Raw genomic sequence first — 19,160 nt, 5'->3', positions numbered from 1 at the left:
AACAGCGTGTGTGCTGTGACACGCATGGGGAAGAGTCCTCATCACCAGGAGGTGTAGACACCTAGTCGCCCTTCCCGGCTGTCTCCCATACGCCGGTGCACACCACGCGTTCCCAAGATGCACATCCCTTTATTACCGTGCGTCACCTCAGTCTCCCACTTGCTTTGGTAGAGTCTAGAAACTAAGAATTTGACCCCATCTGAGGTCTGAGAGATGCTTAAAAGCTGAAGTCAAAGGAGAGAGGCTGATTCCTCACAGCATTTTGGTAGTTGGGATTTGACAGAGACACAGAGATTAGAAATGAGGCAATGGAGGAAGGAGGATACCGAGAAAGTTTTAAATGCCTGAAAAATTCCCTACAGATCCTTTGGTTGTTCTGAGCTTAGAATGGATTTGATGTAAAGGGATAATGATGCTGAAGCGTCCTTTCATTCACACATCAACATTTATTGAGCAGCTGCTGTGCTCAGTGCCAGGGATCCAGAGATGGCCAGAGTGTGCCTGTGCTCCCAGGGAGCTATGGTGTGATGGGGGCATACACTGGTGACAGCCCTACATGGGAAGGGGTGTAGGCCTTGGCTCTGTGGGTATGAGGATGCATTGAGGGGAGGGAGGGGATAATGTGTTTCCTGAAACAGAGACAGAGTCAGGTCAACAGCCCCCTCCTCTAAAGGCAGGGCACATTTCTGGGTATCCAGGCCCGTGGGTCAGGGTTCATCTTCATGCCACTTCTACCCCTAAAAGGGAGACAATATGAAATTGTGCAAAGTGCCCTGTAGGCTGAAACATGCAGGCCAGAGCTGTCCTTCTAAAGAGGTAGGCAGAGAGAGCAAAGGGGGCTGCCTGGTGCTGTGGCCTGGCTGTGGGCAGGGTGGCGTGGGCCTGGCTTCTGGGTTCCTGGCCCTGGCAGCTGCTCTGGGTTTCTGTGTCTGCTGCTGGGACTGCTGTCTGTCCTGTCTTGAATGGGCCTTTGTCAGCAGGTGTGTGGGGGAGGTGATCCCATCCTGGCCTGACTCCATCACGCCCTGCTGGGGCGTGCAGCCTGCTGGGGCCCCAGCCTGTGGCTTCTGTGCAATACCACTCACCATTCAGACTCTCTGGAGCCAGACCGAGATCTCCTGGGGAACCAGAGGGGCCTCAGCCCCTGTGCTGGCAGGCAGGAGGCCTGAATCCCACTCTGACTCCCTCTGGGCAAGGCGCGGCATTGGCCTGTGCCTGAGTTGGCCTCGCAGTACTGTTCTGTGTTTCTGCTTCTGAGGGCTGTTGTGAGAAGTCCATGGGTGATGGCTGGGATGCCACAGTGTCACGGTTGTCAGTGATGGTGAGGTGACAGCAAGACCTGGGAAGGGGGCTGGGGCCCCACGGACCAGGCTGGGGCCCAGAGAATGGGGCTGCCCCAGTTCAGAATATCTGATGTGGGCAGAGAGGGCCAAGGATGAGGGGATGTGATTGGAATGACAGTGACCCGCATGCAGCTGGAGGACAAAGCCAGGCCGGCACGCACTGAAAGACCAGAGGCTAAGATCTCTCCACCATGCCTCCGCTTATGGTCCAGCTTGGGATCTTTCCAGGGAGACTTCCAGAAAACAGGCCTGGATTTGTGATTTGTGAATTCTGTTTCTGTTTCTAAGGAAGAGGCCTTATTTCTTTTCACAGTCAGTTATTTTCTGTCTCTCTCTCTTCTTCTTCTTCTTCTTCTTTTTCCTCTGTCCAAGTTTCTCTTCCCTAGAAAGAACTTCATGTTTTCATGTTAAAGATAAAGGTGCCTCCAGGTTAAAAATAAGTCCCCTGCTATATGACAAGAGAGTTTTGCCTCTCCCGCTCCACCCTGTGCAGCCGGGCTGGGTTGGGTCTGGGCCGGTTGAGTCCAGGGTACCTGACGACTCAGCCTCCAGCACCCTCGCAGTGGGAGTGCCCCTCTTCCATGAATGAGGGTTGGAGGGGCAGCATTCGAGCCGTTGGGCTACTGAAGGCGCCTGACAGGAGAGGGAAAGGCCACCCTGGGAGGTGTCAGCCACAGTGATGCGCTGGGCGGAGGTGCCCTGTCCTGCTCCTAGACTGTCCAGCTGCCTTCCTGGCAGCTTGGGAAATTCAGCAGTGTCTGCAGCCTCCTTGAGCCATGGACTGCTGGAATTTCACCACCCTCTGCTCTGTCCTTTCCCTTGCCAGTCTCTGAGTCCAGTCTCCTCCTCGACTCCTCTCTGGAACATTGCTGGCTGGGCGGGGCGGGCAATCATTTCAAGTTAGGTGATTTAACAATAATTGATGCTTAATTGTTTATTTGATGGGCATTTAAAATGCAAATTGAGGGAACTGGTTGCATTTTCCACTGATGGATCTGTGGCCTCTGGTCGACCCAAAGCACTTGTTTTAAAAGGCAGCTTTAAAAGCCCTTGATGGTTGTTTGTTTGCTCTGAGGCTCTGAACCAGAGAAGCCCAGCTCCTGTTACAGATTCATCAAATGCCGGAAAGGTGAGCAGGAGCCGGAGTGCTGGGATGGGGTTGAGGATTGCTTTTAACTGAATTTTTGAATTTTTATTATTTTTCTACGAATAGACTATCTTTTTAGAACAGTTAGATTTACAGAAAACTTGGGCAGATTGTATGAGTTCCAATTTTCTCCCCTGGCATGCAGTTTCTGCTATTATTACGATCTTACATTAGGGTGGTACATTTGTTACAATTAATGAACAAATATTGGTACAATAATATTGACTAACATTGACACTTTATTAAAATGTCGTTCGTTTGTACCTTATGTCCTTTTTCTGTTCTAGGATCCCATCCAGGATACCACACTCCATTGAGTCGTGCCTCTTTTGGTGCCTCTGGGTGGTGACCTTTTCTCAGGCTTCCCAGGACTTTGACAGTTCTGAGGGTCACTGGTCAGGTGTATTGTAGGATGTGGCCCTGTTGGGATTTGTTCGATGTTCTCCTCATGATTAGACTGGAGTGATGGGTTTTAGGGAGGAAGATCACAGAGGGAAAGTGCCATTTTCATCACATCACACCAAGACGATACAATCAGGATGATTCATTGCTGTTGACGTTGATGGGACTGGGTTTTCCATCCCTTTCATGCCCCCCACGCAGCACAGTTTCAAGGCCTGGTGATTGGAGCTGTGTTCTCTCCGCTCCTCGAGACAAACATACCAAACCATCAGCCAGCACTTTCGGCCGTCCTCACCATCCCAGGTGAGGACAGATCATGGGGTAGCACAGAGACTTTTCCGATAGGAGAATCTTAATGAAGCGAGCATGAAACAGAATGTGCTATGCGCCAAATTAGTGCCAACGACAGGCGACAGGCGCTCTTGGAGTCTGGAGAAAGGGGTCTACGTGGAGTGGCAGCTGGACAAAGATAGCATTTATTAACCTTGGCTGCACATCAGAATGAGTGGGGGAGATTCTCAAAATTACCGATACCTTGGCTACACTGCCCTTGGCTACACTGCCCGGGTTTAGAGCTGAATGTGGCTGAGTTGATTTCCAGGCATCTTTTTTCTTTTCTTTCTTTCTTTCTTTTTTTTTTCTGAAGCTCTTCATGTGATCCTAAGGTACAACCAGGGTTGAGAACTGGAATAAACAAAGAAGGGAAGGGCATTGTAAGTAGAAGGAACAGAATATACAAAGGCACGCAGTTAGAGACACATGTGGCAGAAGATGGAACGTAGACCATCTTAGCTGAAAGTAATGAGAAGATACTGGAGGGGTAGAAGAGAGGTACACTTAGAGATTTTCATATGCCAGAAAGAAGTTTGGATTTTAAAAAACTAAATAGGACGTAGAGGCACCACCGAATGCCTTTGAGTTTGGGAGGGAGGTATTCAGAATACACTTTAGAAAGGTTAGTCCTGCAGTAATCAGTGTCCAGCACAGAGGGGAAGGAGGAGGTTAAAGATGGGTCCAGCTACTGCACTATTAGGTAAGTTACCCAGAGGAGTGACGGAAAGGAAGTTCCAATTAGAGAGATACTGCAAGTGCGAGCATGGCTAGGACTTTGCCACAGATGCAGTGTGGAGATGGGGAAGGAGAGAGGAAGCCCCGGAAACTTGGTGAGGCCGTAACCTCCGTCAGGCAGGGAGGCAGGGATTGTGTCTGTCTTGCTCACTGCAGTGTCCTCAGTGATGAGTGAAGTGCTGGAAAGCATTAGGCCATCAATAAATATTTGTTAACTTGGTTACTGGAAGGATAAGGGTGCCATTGTTTCCAAAATTACACCTTGTTCCAAAAGTACGCTCTTTCTCCCCCAATTTCTCCACCTAAATGCAGGCAAATTTCTCTGCTGTGGAAAGCAATCTGATTAAATAACTCAGGCCAAGATATAAATGACTGTTAGGATTGGGAGTATTTCTCTTGTAGTGATGCCGTGACATTTAAACGTCTCTCCTTGGGAAGAATTGTTGTGGAGGCAGATACATTTTTGAGTAGGGGTGGCCTTTATTTCGATTCTACACCCTCATCTAATTCTGAGCCATACCAGAAAAAAAGGTGATCTGCAGCTCTGCAGCCCACGGTGAAAGGCTGCCGGCTAGTAGTTCTGTTGGCACCCACCCTGAGCTGAGCTCCAGTGGACAGGATAGCCTACAACTGGTCTGGGACTCCATCCAGTACTCAGCATAAATGCACTGGTATTCTGCTAGGCAAAGTGCAGCGGGGCACTCAGCAGCTGTGAGATGGACAGAGGCTGAGAGGGACACAGGAGTGCCTGTGCTGATGCCAAAGCTCAGCTGGGACTGATGGGGCATCGCTGGGAACAGCTGGGATCTGACAATGGGTAACAGACATGCCACAACCTCTCCTATTAACAGGCCCCAGGGTCCCAGCTTTACCCCAACCTCAGTCATAGTCAGCAGAACAGAGTTGGGCAAGAAAATGTGAAAGGCGGAAAAAGGGGATAATGCATGCCAAAGTCTGAAAAGCTGTATTTTGGGTTATTCTTCCTTGGCCTGGGTAAGAACACCCTCATCAGGTGAGCCCAGCTTGGTCAGGAGTTAGGGTCAACATGTTTTTTCCCGTCACCTATACCCATTTCCCCCCCAGTTTTTTTTTAGTATGGTAAAATACACATACCATAAAATGTACTATGATTTTTAAGTGTACATTTCAGCAGCGAGGTAAGTATATCCATATTGTTGTGGAACGATCACCACCATCCATCTCAAGAACTCCCATCGTCTTGTGAAACTGAAACTCCATACCCATTAAACACTCACTCCCCATTTCCCCCCTTCCCGGTGCCCCTGGCAACCACCATTCTCCTTTTTGTCTCTGATTTTGACTACTCTACGTGCCTCATATGAGTGGAATCATACAGTACTTGTCCTTCTGTGACTGGCTTATTTCACTTGGCCTCACGTCCTCAAGGTTCATCCATGTTGTAGCTGGAACAAGTAAGGACATGGAAAGATGCTCAGCCTCACCACAGGCACTCTTTTTTGTTTTTTTTGAGATGGAATCTTGTTCTGTCGCCCAGGCTGGAGTGCAATGGCACGATCTCACTGCAACCTCCACCACCCGGGTTCAAGCAATTCTCCTGCCTCAGCCTCCCGGGTAGCTGGAACTACAGGCGCGCACCACCACGCCCGGCTAATTTTTTTGTATTTTAGTAGAGATGGAGTTTCGCCGTGTTGGCCAGACTGGTCTCGAACTCTTGACCTCAGGTGATCCACCCGCTTTGGTCTCCCAAAGTGCTGGGATTACAGGCATGACCCACCGTGCCTGGCCAGGATGCTCAACCTCACCACAGTCACTCTTATGTTCCTCCTCAGCCTCTGTCCATCTCACAGCTGCTGGGCACAAGATTCATGCATGTGTTGGAATTTCCTTCCTTTTTAAGGTTGAATAATATTCCTTTATGTGTATATACCACATTTTGCTTATCCATTAATCCACTGATGAACACCTGGGTTGCTTCTGTGTTTTAGCTATTGTGAATAATGCTGCTATGAACATGGGTTTACAAATATCTCCTCAAGGTTCTATTTCCAATTCTTTTGGGTATATATCCAGAGGTGGAATTGCTGGATCATATGGGAATTCTATTTTTAATATTTTAAGGAACCACTGTACTGTTTTCCATGGCAGCTGTGCATTTTACATTCCTAGCAACAGTGCACAGTGGTTCCAATTTCTCCACATCCTCACCAACACTTGTTATTTTCTTTCTTTTTTTTATAGCAGCTATCCTAAAGGATATGAGGTGGTACGCATTGTAGTTTTGATTTGCATTTTCCTAATTATTATTGAGGTTGAGCATCTTTCCATGTGCTTATTGGCCATTTGTATATCTTCTTTGGAGAAATGTTAGTTCAAGTTATTTGCTCATTTTTGAATTGAATTGTTTGCTTTTTTTGTTGTTGAGTTTTAGGAGGTCTCTAGCAGATGTATGATTTGAAAATATTTCCTTCCACTCTGTGGTATTTTTGATCTGTTGATTGTGTCTTTTGATGCACATTTTTACATTTTTATAAAGTCCAATTTTTCGGCCAGACGCGGTGACCCATGTCTGTAATCCCAGCACTTTGGGAGGCCGAGGCCTGCGGATCACGAGGTCAGGAGTTCGAGACCAGCCTGACCCACATGGAGAAACCCTGTCTCTACTAAAAATACAAAAATGAGCTGGGTGTGGTAGCAGGTGCCTGTAATCCCAGCTACTCGGGAAGCAGAGGCAGGAGAATTGCTTGAACCCCGGAGGTGGAGGTTGCAGTCAGCCGAGATTGAGCCGTTGCACTCCAGCCTGGGCAACAGGGTGAGACTCCGTCTCAAAAAAAAAACGTGCAATTTGTCTATTTTTTTCTTTTGTTGCCTGTGCCTTTGTTGTCCTATTCAAGAAACCATTGCCATATCCAACGTCATAAAGCTTTTGCTGTGTTTTTTTCTAAGAGTTTTAAGTTTTAGGTTTTACGTGTAGCTCATGGATCCAGTTAGGTTAAATTTTGTGTGTGGTGTTAAGTAAGGGTCTACCTTTATTCTTTTGCATGTGTACATCTGGTTTTCCTGGCACTTACTTGTTGAAAAGACTGTCTTTTCCCCATTGAATGGTCTTGGCACCCAAGTCAAAAATCTTTTGACCACATATGTGAGGGTTATTTCTGGACTTTATCCTACTCTATTGGTGTATATATGTCTGTTCTTATGTCACACACTGTTTTGATACTGTAGCCTTGTAGTAGAATTTGAAATCAGGAAGCTTGAGTCCTTCAGCTTTGTTCTTTTTCAGGATTTTTTTGGCTACCCAGGGTCCCTTGAGATTCCATATGAATTTTAGCATAGATTTTTTTATTTCTACAAAAACATGTCATTGGGATTTTGATAGGGATTGCATTAAATCTATAGATCATTTTGGATAGTATTAATATCTTAAAAATATTAGGTCTTTCAATCTACAAACATGGACTATTTTTTCCGTTTATTTACATCTTCTTTAATTTCTTTGAGAAATGTTTCTATTGCATGAGTTTCTCATCTTCTTGGTTAATTTCTAAATATTTTATTCTTTTTGATATTATGATATGGAGTTGTTTTTTAGTTTCCTCTTCAGATTTTTTATTGTTAATGTATAGAAATGCAATTGTTTTTTGTGTGTTGACCTTGTGTCCTGCTACATTGCAGAATTTATTAGTTCTTACAGTTTTTATGTGTGATCTTTAGGGTTTTCTATGTATAAGATGATACCATCTGTGAACAGAGATCATTTTACTTCTTCCTTTCCAATTTGGATGCCTTTTACTTATTTGTTTATTTTGCATAGTTGCTCTGGCTAGGACTTCCAATACTGTGTTAAACAGAAATGGTGAAAGTGGATATCCTTGCCTTGTTCCTGATGTTAGAGGAAAAGCGTTAAGTCTTTGACCATTGAGTGTGATGTTTGCTGTGGGTTTTTTTTTTTTTTAAACTTATGGCTTGTATTATGTTGAGGTAGTTTCCTTCTATTCCTAATTTGTTGAATGTTTTCCTCATGGGAGGATGTTGATGTCAAATGCTTTTTCTGCATCAATTGAGATGATCGTGTGGTTTTTTTTCCCTCCGTTTTGCTAATGTGGTATATTATATTGCTTGATTTTCATATGTTGAAACATTTTTGCATTCCAGGAATAAATTGGGGCCTCCAATTTTATTTCCCTTAGTTCCTGCCCATTTCCACATGTGCCAGGGAGGCAGCAAGAAAGAGTGGAAGGTGCATGGCACCAGCAGAATTAGTGACAGTTCCAGGTATGCTTTTGTTAGCTGTTGGGCCTTGGGCAATAGCATAAGCCTGAGCCTCTCCTTTTCTAATCTGTAAAATAGCAGTAATAACCAACATCCCATGGAGTTGTGATGTTTCTTTGAGCTAATGCTTGTAATGTTATCTGGTGAATAAGGTGTCTTATAAATGACTGGTGTATAACATCATCACATCATCATCATCATCATCATCATCATCCCCTTTGACCAATGTGGGCAGGGAACAGGAATATGCAACATGTAAGACACAGCAGCTCCCCTTTCTCTTTTGACAGTCACAGATACACTGAAGGGCCCAGGCCTGAGGGACAAGAGTTCCTATCTTGATACATCTTGCCGTGACCTCCTCAACCCAAGGAGGAGGGAGGAACAGGGCCATCTTAGGAACAGCACCTTGGTTTTGCAGAAGTCCATTTGGCCCTGCCTGTGTGTCTCAGGGCCCAACCCTTCTAGAGAGATACCCTGAAGGGGCCCTTTGTGGGAGGCAGTGGCTTCTCCTTGAATGACCTTGGTGAAGGAAGAAGATTGGGCATGGTGACCAGAGGAGGTGGCTGAGGACCTTGTGGGCTGGGCCTCGGTCTGGGATAGCCGCAGCTCCTGGTCTCTTTCCAGCAGAGACACTGTGTCTTCTGGGCAGCGGCCCTGTAGCCAGGGAAGGGCGTGAGTTGTTTTCTCCCAGGAACAGCAGCTGTCTGTTGACTTTTCCTTCTCATACCCTGCCCTGGTGCATTTTCCTGTCTCTGCTTTTAGGTGCATCTGTGTGAGTGGGGCACGCAGGGCATGGTGGAGGCACCTAGGGCATGGTGGAGGCACCCAGGGCAGCCGAGGCCTCAGAAGGAGGAGGATGACGTGAGGGCTTGCTTGATGCTTCCTCTAAAGCCAATTCTCTTCTCTCAGCAGCCTCCACCTCTCCTGGCTTCACCACCTGTGTCCCTCCTTCCCATTTTCCAGCTCAGTTTCTGCGGGGACTTGGCCCCTGGGCCAGCCTCTCCCGTCTCGAAGCCTCTTTCTTTCTCTTTCCTTTGCCTGCCTCTCCCACTTCCTCTGGGGCATCGCCTTTTCAGTTTCTCCTCCTCCGGGTTTTCTCTCCTCTCCTGCTGCCTCATGTCCTCTGTCTGTCTTGCTTCTGTGTCTCTCGTGGGGGTGCCCTCAGTTTGGGCCTGGGAAGATGTGTCCCTTGCTTTAGCTGTCCCAGCCAGATGTGTCCTCCCTGGGCCACATATCTGCAGCTCTGGATGACATAGGATGTTTGTCTTGAGGCAGGAAAAGGCAGTGGCCGGGAGCCAGTGTCAGCTGTGGGCCGAGGCCCCTCCACATCCTGTGACCTCACGAGGACCCTCCACGTCCTGTGACCACACGAGGACCCTGGAGCCTTCCAGTGGTTGGAGGACAATGTTAAAAGGAAGGGAAGGGGGAGGAAGTAACTGGGCCCTCTCCCTAGCCCCTATCTCTGTTTATCTTTCCATTTTCCTGGAAAAGGTAGAAATGAAGGAGGAAGCCAAGGACAGAGTTGGGCAGTGATACAGTAATGATACTAACAGGTGATGCTTCACCAGCAGTTACTATTCGCCAGGCTGCACTCAGCTCCGTCCACAGGCCGTCTCTTTTCATTGCAAATGACAGCAACAGAACTCCATCTAATTTAGTTGAAGCAGGGGTATCAGTTTACAGAGCCAGACTCGGGAAGGGTGGGGCCCTCTGGTGTGGGAACACAGGAGCCTGAGGCACAGCTAGGAAGCTCTCTGGGCCCCTCCTCCCTGCCTCTCTCCCCTGCCAGCTCTGTACCTGTCAGCTATTGGCCGACTTCTCCCCCAACAGACTCCTCCTCCTTTCATCCGGCAGGATGCTGAGGTCTTTCCTACCATGTCTTTTAGCTACAGGGAAGGAGCTGAGATTGGCAGGCTCCCATAGACCAGCAGGGTTCGAGTGGGGACAGAGCAGGCTCCCTTCCAAAAGGGGATGTCATTCACAGAAGAGGGGACTGATGTGGGCACAAAGACCACCTCATCTGACCCTCACTGATCCCGAGATGCATGCTGTTAGGCCCATCTTGCAGTTGCAGAAGCCAAGACTCTGAGAAGCCAAGTAACGCTCCCGAGGCCACAGAGCCACTGAGTGGCAGAGAGGAGGGAGAGCTGAGTGCTCAGAGCAAGGACCCTGGAGCCAGGTTGCTTGGGATTGAATCTAGGCTCTGCTACTTTCTAGCTCTGGAATTTGGGGCAGCTTACTTAATCTTTCTCACCTCAGTCTGCCCGTCTGTGTAAAGGGAATGATCGTAATAATAGTTGCTTCTTAGGACTATTGTAAGGGTAGAATGAGTTATATAACTATTTAGAACAACACTTGGTATGGCATGAGCACCTTACGAATGTTACATGTTGTTATCAGGGTGTTTTACAGTTTACAAAGAACCTTCACACCTATTATCTCACTTGACCTTGATCATAGCCTTGGAAAGTGGACAAGGGAACGGACTGGCAGATTCTGCACTGATTCTGCGCTGCCCGCACCCCATGCTCTCACCCTCGGCCTAATCAGCTTCAGGGTTCCGTAGCCTGTTTTTAAAAATCCCCCACCCGAGTAAACAGCTCTCTGTTCAACAAGTGAGTATCAATGCTTTCTCAGGGGTGAGCTGGCAGGATTGTACATTCTGCTGTCTCTCTAGCGCACGAATATGTATGAAGCTAGAGATGCTGGAAGCTTGGTAAATGTTCATCCAGATGCGGGAGCCCCTGCATTGTGGCTCTCTGCGCAGAGCTCTCTCAGGTACCTGTATCTCGCTGCCTCAGCCTGCTGGACTGGGATGGGAATGAGAAAACAGGGTGGCAGCTACCTAGAAAAGGTGGGCCCTTCAAAGAGCCACAGTGCAGGTGGCCCCTCATGGCTCTTTGCCCCCAAATGGATGTGATCCCTCCCTGTGAGGTGGGGCCCAAGGGCTGGAGTTTGGGGCTGGCTCTGGGATCGAAGGAAACCTACTCATAGCAGGAAGACTCCCTGCCCTCCACCAACAGCCAGGCAGACAGAGCAGGGCTGAAGTCCAGAATCCTGCACTTATTCTCCAGGGCACCTCTCTTTCCCTACCTCAGTTTCTTTCCCTGTAAAATGCTTTTGACGATAACAAAAGGCCTTCGGCAGACATGGAGCCCAACTCCTCACTCTCTCACACAGGGGAGCAAGCAGGTGATGAGAATAGGCCTCTCCCATGACCCCAGCTGTGCGGTAAGGTGAGCTTGGTGCAGGTGGCTATTGCTGTAGCGTGGATCTGAGTAGCGTACGACCAGACTAAGGATGAAAACAGGGAAGCTCCGGACTAAAAATTATCACAGACAGACTGGTCAGATGTACTGGGAGAGAGGTGGGATCTTTATATTCCTAAGACCTTAGCAAGTCTTACTGTTTGGAAGGAAAATAGGGGGAGGACAGTTTGATTTATTTGTGCTAAGCAAGAGCTTTTGGAGACAAGGGACTGGCTCTGAAGGCTTTTTAAGGCCTCCTTAGTTCTTGGATTTCATGAAAGGGCCACAGGTGCACATTATCAGTGTTAGCATCGGGTTATGTTTAAGGATTAAGTGAGAATAAGCATTTAAAGCACTAAGAATAGTGCCTGGCCTGTATCATTTGTCGTGATTATAATTATTACCTCTTGTATCCAATACAGACCCCCAGACTGGGCCTCAAGTGTGGGTTTTCATCTCAGAATTTTTAATTCCTCTTAGTTTCTTCTGTGGCATCCATAGAAGGGCTCCTATGATGCAGGCTGACCTCTGTGTCCAGCCTTCTGGTTCAAGGCCGCTGTCTGGGAAGTGTGCAGTGTGAGTCAGGGGTGTGCTTTGTAAAGGCACAAAGATCTCCAACCCCGGACCTCCCTCCTCAGGGGATTCACATTTGCCCGCCAGTGGCTCCACAGTGTCCTGCCGAACTGGGTGTGGCTGGACCTGCGGTCGGGACACACTGGCTTGGGGCGGGGGTCTTGCACAGTGTCTAGGAGGCAGGAGATGTATCTCATAGCCACATAAGCAAATGGACTTTCGAGCAGCCTCCCAGAAGGGGTTGAAAATGACACAGAATCGGCCGGGAGTGGTGGCTCACATCTGTAATCCCAGCACTTTGGGAGGCTGAGTTGGGCAGATCACCGGAGGTCAGGAGTTGGAGACCACCCTGGCCAATATGGCGAAACCCCGTCTCTACTAAAAATACAAAACTTAGCTGGGTGTGGTGGTTCGCACCTGTAGTCCCAGCTACTCGGGAGGCTGAGGCAGGAGAATCGCTTGAGCCTGGGAGGAGGAGGTTGCAGTGAGCCAAGATCGCACCACTGCACACTCCAGCCTGGTGACAGAGCGAGACTGTCTAAAAAAGAAAAGAAAGAAGGAAGGAAGGAAGGAAGGAAGGAAGGAAGGAAGGAAGGAAGGAAGGAAGGAAGGGAAGGAAGGAGAGAGAGAGAGAAAGAAAGAAAGAAAGAAAGAAAGAAAGAAAGAAAGAAAGAAAGAAAGAAAGAAAGAAAGAAAGAAAGAAAAAAGAAAATGAAGCAGAATCGACTCTCCGTTTTACAAAAACAGAGGATGAACCTGGGCCATGACTCTGGGTCCCTGTGGCTTGGGAACTTTGACAGGAGAGTGTTTAGGGCACAAAGTTGGGGGTGTGAGGCTGAGTGTGGTCCTTACCCCTGTTTCCAAGCTGGTGGTTACATGGGACCCAAGGTGAGAGGAGAAAGCAGCCCTGACATGGAGAGGGAGTGAGGGGTGCCGGGCTCAGCCAGGAGGGACCCTGGGAAAGCCCCCCTGGAGCTCTGCTCGACATACGTCCCCCAAGTGGATGACGACTGTCCTTTTGTCCTTCATTTTCCTTTTAATCCTGCAAGAGAACTTCAGCCAAAGCATCTGAGACGGGAAGCAGAAAAAGGAGGGACAGTTTGGAGAAGAAAAACGCAGCTGTGTGTGAGTGGGGAGGTACTTTGGTTGGATGCCAAGGGCACCAGGATGCTCCAGCATGGATGGGAAGCAGGGGGACGCTGGAGTGGGGCTGGGGTGGGGTGCCAAGGAAGATCGAGGAGAAGAACATCCAGCCTCTCCAGTACTGAGGCCTCTCTGGGATTCTTTATCTTTTGTCTGAAAGCATTATGAGGCTTAATTCCCATAAAAATAAAACACATTCCAAAGCCAAGGCCAGGGTTTGGGCATTCTCTGCTGGTTTATACTGACCACTCCCCCAGGTCCCGTTCATGAGCATGGAGAATAGAGAACTGATGGTAAGGCTGATATTGTGCAGGCATGGCCCTTTCATGGAAACAGAGGGCTAAGGAGGCCTTAAAAAGCCTTCGGGGCCAGTCCTTTGTCTCCAAGAGGTCTTGCTTAGCACGAATAGATCAGACCACTCTCCCCCTATTTTCCTCCCAGACAGTAAGACTTGCTAAGGTCTTAGGAATATAAATATTCCACCTGGGCCGGGTGTGGTGGCTCATGCCTGTAATTCCAGCACTTTGGGAAGTTGAGGTGGGCGGCTCACGAGGTCAAGAGATCGAGACCATCTTGGCCAACATGGTGAAACTCCGTCTCTACTAAAAATACAAAAATTAGCTGGGCATGGTGGCGCGTGCCTGTAATCCCAGCTACTCAGGAGGCTGAGACAGGAGAATCGCTTGAACCCGGCAGCAGAGGTTGCAGTGAGCCAAGATTGCGCCACTGCACTCCAGCCTGGGCTACAGAGCGAGACTCCTTCTCAAAAAAAAAAAAAAAAATCCACTTCTTTCCCAATACATCTGACCAGTTTGTCTGTGACTTCCCTGTTTTCATTCTTAGTCTAACCTTACACAACACAGATCCATGCTGCAGCAATAGCCACCTGCACTAAACTCACCACATCACCTGGGGATCATGGGAAAGACCTGTTCTCATCACGTATTTACTCCCCTGTGTGAGAGAGTGAGCATTTGGGCCCCATGCCTCCAGAAGACCCATTCTAGACATGATTCCATCCCTCACCTTCCCTGAAGCCAGCACTGTCACCTCCCATCTCCAATCCAAGGAGGCTATCAGTGGCAGTGGCTTCCCTCCTGCCCTCTCATGTCCCTGGCCACCCCATTCCTGCAGGGCCTCGCCCTCTTCCCTGGCTCCAGCCAGGCTACCCCCCTTCCCTTTGGCATTGGGGTGGGCTCAGCCTTCCTTCCCTCTGTTCCTCCTGGCCACTGCTCTGCCAGCCCTGTTCTGCCCACCTCCCAATCCCAGCACATCAAAACAGCAGTCAAGAGTGGGAAATGCATGTTCTGAGCCCTGCCCTGCCCCTAAATAACTGGATGAATCAGGTACCTCATCTCTCTTTGGGCCCCAATTTTCACAAATAAAAAGCAGGAGCCCAATCACTGTAACCAACTGTGATGAATTCTGTGATGCTAACTCCATCTGGTAGACCTCACATCTTGGTTATACTCAATATATACACAGTCGAATCTTTTTTTAATAGACTTCTTGGTTGCAAAGATCTAGATACGTCATAGGCTAAATCATATCCCTTTGCATATAATAATAGTCTAGGGTAACCATTTAGACTAAACTGTGGGGCCCAGGCATTCTGCGGCCTCATAAAAGGCCCCATTCCGGGACGTTCTGTATGAAGTGAGACCTCATCTTTCTTAGCAGGGCATCCTGCTAAGACCCAGGCCCGGTGACCCCTCAGAGCTTGTCATCCGTGGGCTGAGCCTGCAGGAAGGCAAGCAGGTGGGATGCCAGGGGAGGCGAGTGAAGCTTCGGGAGCAGGGGGAGGGAGGGATGAGGATGAGATAATGAAGTTTCACTGTAATTTGGAGCCTCTGCATTTTCAAGGGAGGTTGTTTCTGAGTTATTTTCACAATGGAACTGGGTATTCTGATCTACCTCACTGCTGCGTGGAATCAAAAATAATAGAGCATGTTGCTATATCATCAACTAGTGGCTTCTCTTTCTGAGCAGTTTTTACCCAGCAATTAAGTGAAATTATGTGACTCAGTATGGGAAGATAATTGCCGGAGAAACTCTTCTGATTGCTTTCTCCCGCACATGCAGCCAGCAACCAAGCAGGAGGATCAGAGAGGAAAATTAACATGGAAGTGCTGCTTCCACCCAGAACCTCAGCTGCTTGCCAATATGGAGATAAACAAGAGCACAGAAAGGAGAGGAAAAATGAGCGGAAACAGAATTCGTTCTCATAATACACCCTAGAGGAGGCAGCAACGTGTGATTGGTTCCATTCTCCAGATGGGGAGAGTGGTCCAAATGGTCTAGAGGGGAAGAGTTGGGGAGCAAGAGAGTGAAGCAGCCAGGGAGTCCCCCACTCCAGCAGTGATGATTTCTCAGGCCCCCTGTGCTGGCGAGCCAGGTCCTCAGGCCCCCAGGCAAAGGTCCAGGGCCCAGTGCGCAGGTGGCGGTGCATGCCCTGTTCCTGTGCCCTCTCCGCTCACTTCAGCCTTGGATCTCCTTCCCCCAGTGACTCCTCCTTCCTGTCTTCCATCTACTCCTTAGAATCTCTCGCCCGGAACTGAGATTTTTCACCACCCAGCCTCTTACCCTCCCCACCCCAGCCAGCCTCCAGCAGCCCAGCTTCCTCTCTGGAAGGAGGGAGAAAGGAATGTGTGGTCACTGGGAGGGTGGGAGGTGCAGAGGGGTGGTATATGAGATGGAAGGGAAGCCAAGCTGGGTGCAGCAGTGAGACAAAGGCATTCTGTGGCCCTTCAAAAGTTCTGTGTATGTACTTGGCCACTCGACTCAGGGGCAGTGCCAACGTACCACCGATGAGATTTTTAAAAATGGGTTTAGGCCCCCCTCCTCCCCGCTCCCGCCACCCCGAGGGGCCCATGCTGAGGTGTGGTTGATGTAGCCCAGGCTGGGACAGCAGCTTGCAGGAGTAGAGAATGGGTCACTTTTCAAATTTGTGACAGTATTTCTTTTCACACTGTCACTTGATCAGAAATGTTTTCTTTAGAATACAAAGGCAGGTCTTAACTCTTTAGCTTGGCACTCAAGAGCCTCTGCAATCTGATTCCAACCATCTTATCTGAGTTCTCACCACCCACCCCATCATGCTTTAGTCCAACTGGGTTGTTCACTGTTTTGGAAGATATCTTACACTAGAAATGGCAGCTATTTGGTAGGTTGCTGTCACAGCCCCCTCCTAGGCTAAGCAGACATTACTGGTGGATGAAGGCCGTCTCCTGTTGGACCTCATTTGGGGAAGCCACTTTGGACAGTTACTACTGCATGAAATGCGTTAAGGCTCATCTTGAACTGATCTTGAACTTGAGCTGAATCCCATTTGTTGTTCCTACTCTCTGTTTCCCCTCTCACTGCTTTTGCTCATGCTGTCTTCTCTACCGGAATGCCTTTCCTCTGCTCTTTCCTTCCCCCTGTCTATCAAAATCCTACCCTGCTCTTAAGGTTCCGCTGGAATGTCAGCTCCTCCACGGAAACTTCCCTAGCTCCCTGTTGAGCTCTCTGCTCCCCTTCTCTCTGTCTTTCTGGACTATTGTTGCATGGCGTCTGTACCTGTTGGGAAGTTCTCGTCATATTTGCTGATGGATCAGAGCCCTTTGCCACCAAATCCTACTTCTCCTTGGTAGCTAAGGCTGTATCTTGTTCACCTACTTATCCTTTGCAGAACCCAGAATAGTATGGCCCTTTCTAGGAGTTCAGTGTTGGCTTGTGTAATGGATTTGAACCTGAGCATCAATGGAGGTGATTGTTGGGGTTTGAAGGGAAGGCACAGCAGCAACCTGAACTGCTGCCCATTGTCCCTGGTGGCCCAGAGCCATTGACATGTGCTTTCCCTATTCCCAGGGGGCAGGAAGAGCCCTATTGCCAACACTGCACTCCCTCTTCCGGCTAGAGCTGGTCAAGAGGCCACTGTGGGAAGCCTGGTCCATTTGTCCTTCCCTCTCTCACCTCACATCCAATATTCACACCATGGCCCCTAAGATTTGAAGGCCTTAATGTGTTGTTTCATCTACCTTCCACATCTTGACTCCAGTCTCCCTCCTCACTGGCTAAGCAAGGAGCAGGTGTAATTTGGAGATGGGACTTGGGCTAGGAAGCAGCAGTAAACTGGAGAAAGAAAGAGAAGGAGAGAGGGAGGGAGGGAGGTGTTTTACAGATAGCAGATGCTCAAAACTTACCTTATTTCATACTTTGATTGAAGATATTTTAGGACTGTATGACTGCCTGAATCATAAGGGGACTTTCCACTTTAAAATAATTAATCCCAGGTTTACTATTACACAGCTTGGTTTAAAGAAGGAATGAAAATCATCCAATCTTAAGTCACCGTTACTCTCCCCACACCAAACACTACCAAAAAGACAAAACAAAACAAAAACCCCATGAGATAACTGGGCCAGGCATGGTGGCTCATGCCTGAAATCCCAACACTTAAGGAGGCCGAGCCAGAAGGATCACTTGAGGTCAGGATTTCGAGACCCAGCCTGGCCAACATGGTGAAACCCTGTCTCTACTAAAAATACAAAAATTAGCTGGGCATGGTGGTGCATGCTTGTAGTTCCAGCTACTAGGGAGGCTGAGGCAGGAGGATCACTCAGGAGGCAGAGGTTGCAATGAGCCGAGATTGTGCCACTATACTCCAGCCTGAGTGACACAGTGAGACTCTATCTCAAACAAAACAAAACAAAACAAAAACTAGCACTGGAGTATGTGAAGCTTAGCCAGAACTTAAGCCATAGTTACTCTTAGAATGCACCCTCATTGACATTACTGCATTCTGTAGGCTAATCAGCATTGAGTCCAGCAAGGTTGGGAAGCCAAACCTGAGACTACCTGCATGAAGCCAAGAACCCTTGAGAGGGGCTAAAGTGATCTCAGGTTGGTATCTGCTGCCCCCAGCCTCCATGAAAAAGCAAAGCAAATGCTCTCTGAAAGAAAGTGTCCCATTTTAGGACTACCAATTTCCCACAGATTAAAATCTAGCAAATATGAGCTCACAATCGAATATATTACCAAACACAGGAAAAAACAAGTCACTGTGATTGAAAGGCACAGAAACAAAAAGTAGATTTTGACCCCCAAGGATTTAAGAGTTTGGAATTATCAGATACAGAATATAAAATAACTGTAAGAAATGTTGAAAGAATAAGAGATGAGAACACAAAATGAGTGAACAACAAAGACTAACACAAATGCCCAGGCAATTTCAAAAAGAACCAGATAGAACCTTTAGAAATTAATAATATGACCATTGAAACACAAAAGTAAATGAGTGGGTTAAGCAGCAAATAAAAACAGTTAAAAAGGAAGTCAGAAAATGGAAAACAAATATGAAATAATTACCTGGAATGTAGCATAGAGAAGGAAGTGGAAAATATGAAAGAGCAGTTAAGCGATATGGAGAATAGAATGAGGATGTCTAACCTGCTTCTAGTCACAGTCTCAGAAAGAGAAAGTGGGGAGAATGGAGGAGAGGCCATATTTGAAGAGATAAGAATTTTTCATAACGATGAAAAGGATGAACCTATAGGTAAAGGACTTTCAAGTCTGATGAAACTCACGACAATCAGTTCTATGTTGTGTTTCAGACTTGTGATGAAACCCACAACAGCAAACACAAAAAGAAGAAAATAAAAGGAGGCAGAGAAGAAAGATAGGACATCTATAAAGGAATGATGATATAAGCAGCAGACTTCTCAACAGCAATCATGGAAGCCAGATAGCAGTGGAATAACATCTTAAAAGTGCAGAGCAAAAATAATTATCAGCCTAGAATTGTGTACATAGCCAAACTACCTTTCAAGGTTAGGATTGTATTAGTTTTCTATTGCTGCATAACAAACGATCACAGACCCAGCAGCTTAAAGCAACACATGTTTATTATGTAATGGTTTCTTTAGGTCAGAGGTCTGGCACAGCTTAGCTGAATTTTCTGCTTCAGCATCATACCGAACTACAGTCTAGGTGCTGGCTAAG

At 47.8% G+C, this 19,160-nt stretch overlaps 2 protein-coding genes across 7 annotated transcripts in view, besides 9 other annotated features; both read left to right on the top strand.

The window, feature by feature from the left end:
* FXYD6-FXYD2 (FXYD6-FXYD2 readthrough) overlaps positions 1–19,160 on the top strand; it is a 56,602-nt gene that overhangs the window by 5,288 nt on the left and 32,154 nt on the right. The window lies entirely within an intron of this gene.
* FXYD6 (FXYD domain containing ion transport regulator 6) overlaps positions 1–19,160 on the top strand; it is a 40,450-nt gene that overhangs the window by 6,060 nt on the left and 15,230 nt on the right. For 2 of the 5 annotated variants that reach the window (NM_001164837.3, NM_001164836.3), the window contains exon 2: positions 13,085–13,160. The exons of the other annotated variants lie outside the window; for them this stretch is intronic. The gene's annotated coding sequence lies outside the window, so the exon portion shown is untranslated. The remainder of the gene's footprint in view (positions 1–13,084; positions 13,161–19,160) is intronic. 5 annotated transcript variants of the gene reach the window in all.
* Positions 823–1,117: a silencer, noted in NCBI's record as "tiled region #1172; K562 Repressive non-DNase unmatched - State 20:ReprD". NCBI's record gives its function as "represses a minimal TATA promoter and a strong SV40 promoter by Sharpr-MPRA in K562 cells {active_cell/tissue: K562}" and the evidence as "EXISTENCE:reporter gene assay evidence [ECO:0000049][PMID:27701403]".
* Positions 823–1,559: a biological region, named in NCBI's record as "Sharpr-MPRA regulatory region 1172".
* Positions 1,040–1,559: an enhancer, noted in NCBI's record as "H3K4me1 hESC enhancer chr11:117740527-117741046 (GRCh37/hg19 assembly coordinates)". NCBI's record gives its function as "activates a minimal SCP1, AML or CMV promoter by ChIP-STARR-seq in naive H9 embryonic stem cells {active_cell/tissue: H9 hESC(naive)}" and the evidence as "EXISTENCE:reporter gene assay evidence [ECO:0000049][PMID:30033119]".
* Positions 1,082–1,131: an enhancer, noted in NCBI's record as "active region_5576". NCBI's record gives its function as "activates an Ori minimal core promoter by ATAC-STARR-seq in GM12878 lymphoblastoid cells {active_cell/tissue: GM12878}" and the evidence as "EXISTENCE:reporter gene assay evidence [ECO:0000049][PMID:35858748]".
* Positions 1,560–2,079: an enhancer, noted in NCBI's record as "NANOG-H3K4me1 hESC enhancer chr11:117740007-117740526 (GRCh37/hg19 assembly coordinates)". NCBI's record gives its function as "activates a minimal SCP1, AML or CMV promoter by ChIP-STARR-seq in primed H9 embryonic stem cells {active_cell/tissue: H9 hESC(primed)}" and the evidence as "EXISTENCE:reporter gene assay evidence [ECO:0000049][PMID:30033119]".
* Positions 2,080–2,600: an enhancer, noted in NCBI's record as "NANOG-H3K4me1 hESC enhancer chr11:117739486-117740006 (GRCh37/hg19 assembly coordinates)". NCBI's record gives its function as "activates a minimal SCP1, AML or CMV promoter by ChIP-STARR-seq in naive H9 embryonic stem cells {active_cell/tissue: H9 hESC(naive)}" and the evidence as "EXISTENCE:reporter gene assay evidence [ECO:0000049][PMID:30033119]".
* Positions 2,080–3,588: a biological region, named in NCBI's record as "BRD4-independent group 4 enhancer GRCh37_chr11:117738498-117739697".
* Positions 2,389–3,588: an enhancer, noted in NCBI's record as "BRD4-independent group 4 enhancer chr11:117738498-117739697 (GRCh37/hg19 assembly coordinates)". NCBI's record gives its function as "activates an origin of replication core promoter dependent on BRD2, P300/CBP, MED14 and CDK7 cofactors, and independent of BRD4, by STARR-seq in HCT116 cells {active_cell/tissue: HCT116}" and the evidence as "EXISTENCE:reporter gene assay evidence [ECO:0000049][PMID:35650434]".
* Positions 15,129–15,629: an enhancer, noted in NCBI's record as "H3K4me1 hESC enhancer chr11:117726457-117726957 (GRCh37/hg19 assembly coordinates)". NCBI's record gives its function as "activates a minimal SCP1, AML or CMV promoter by ChIP-STARR-seq in primed H9 embryonic stem cells {active_cell/tissue: H9 hESC(primed)}" and the evidence as "EXISTENCE:reporter gene assay evidence [ECO:0000049][PMID:30033119]".

Source organism: Homo sapiens, chromosome 11 (genome assembly GCF_000001405.40).
Source record: "Homo sapiens chromosome 11, GRCh38.p14 Primary Assembly".
NCBI classification, from domain to species: Eukaryota; Metazoa; Chordata; class Mammalia; order Primates; family Hominidae; genus Homo; species Homo sapiens.
The sequence above is the reverse complement of the archived record's forward strand: the minus strand, read 5'-3'. Positions and strand labels throughout refer to the sequence as shown.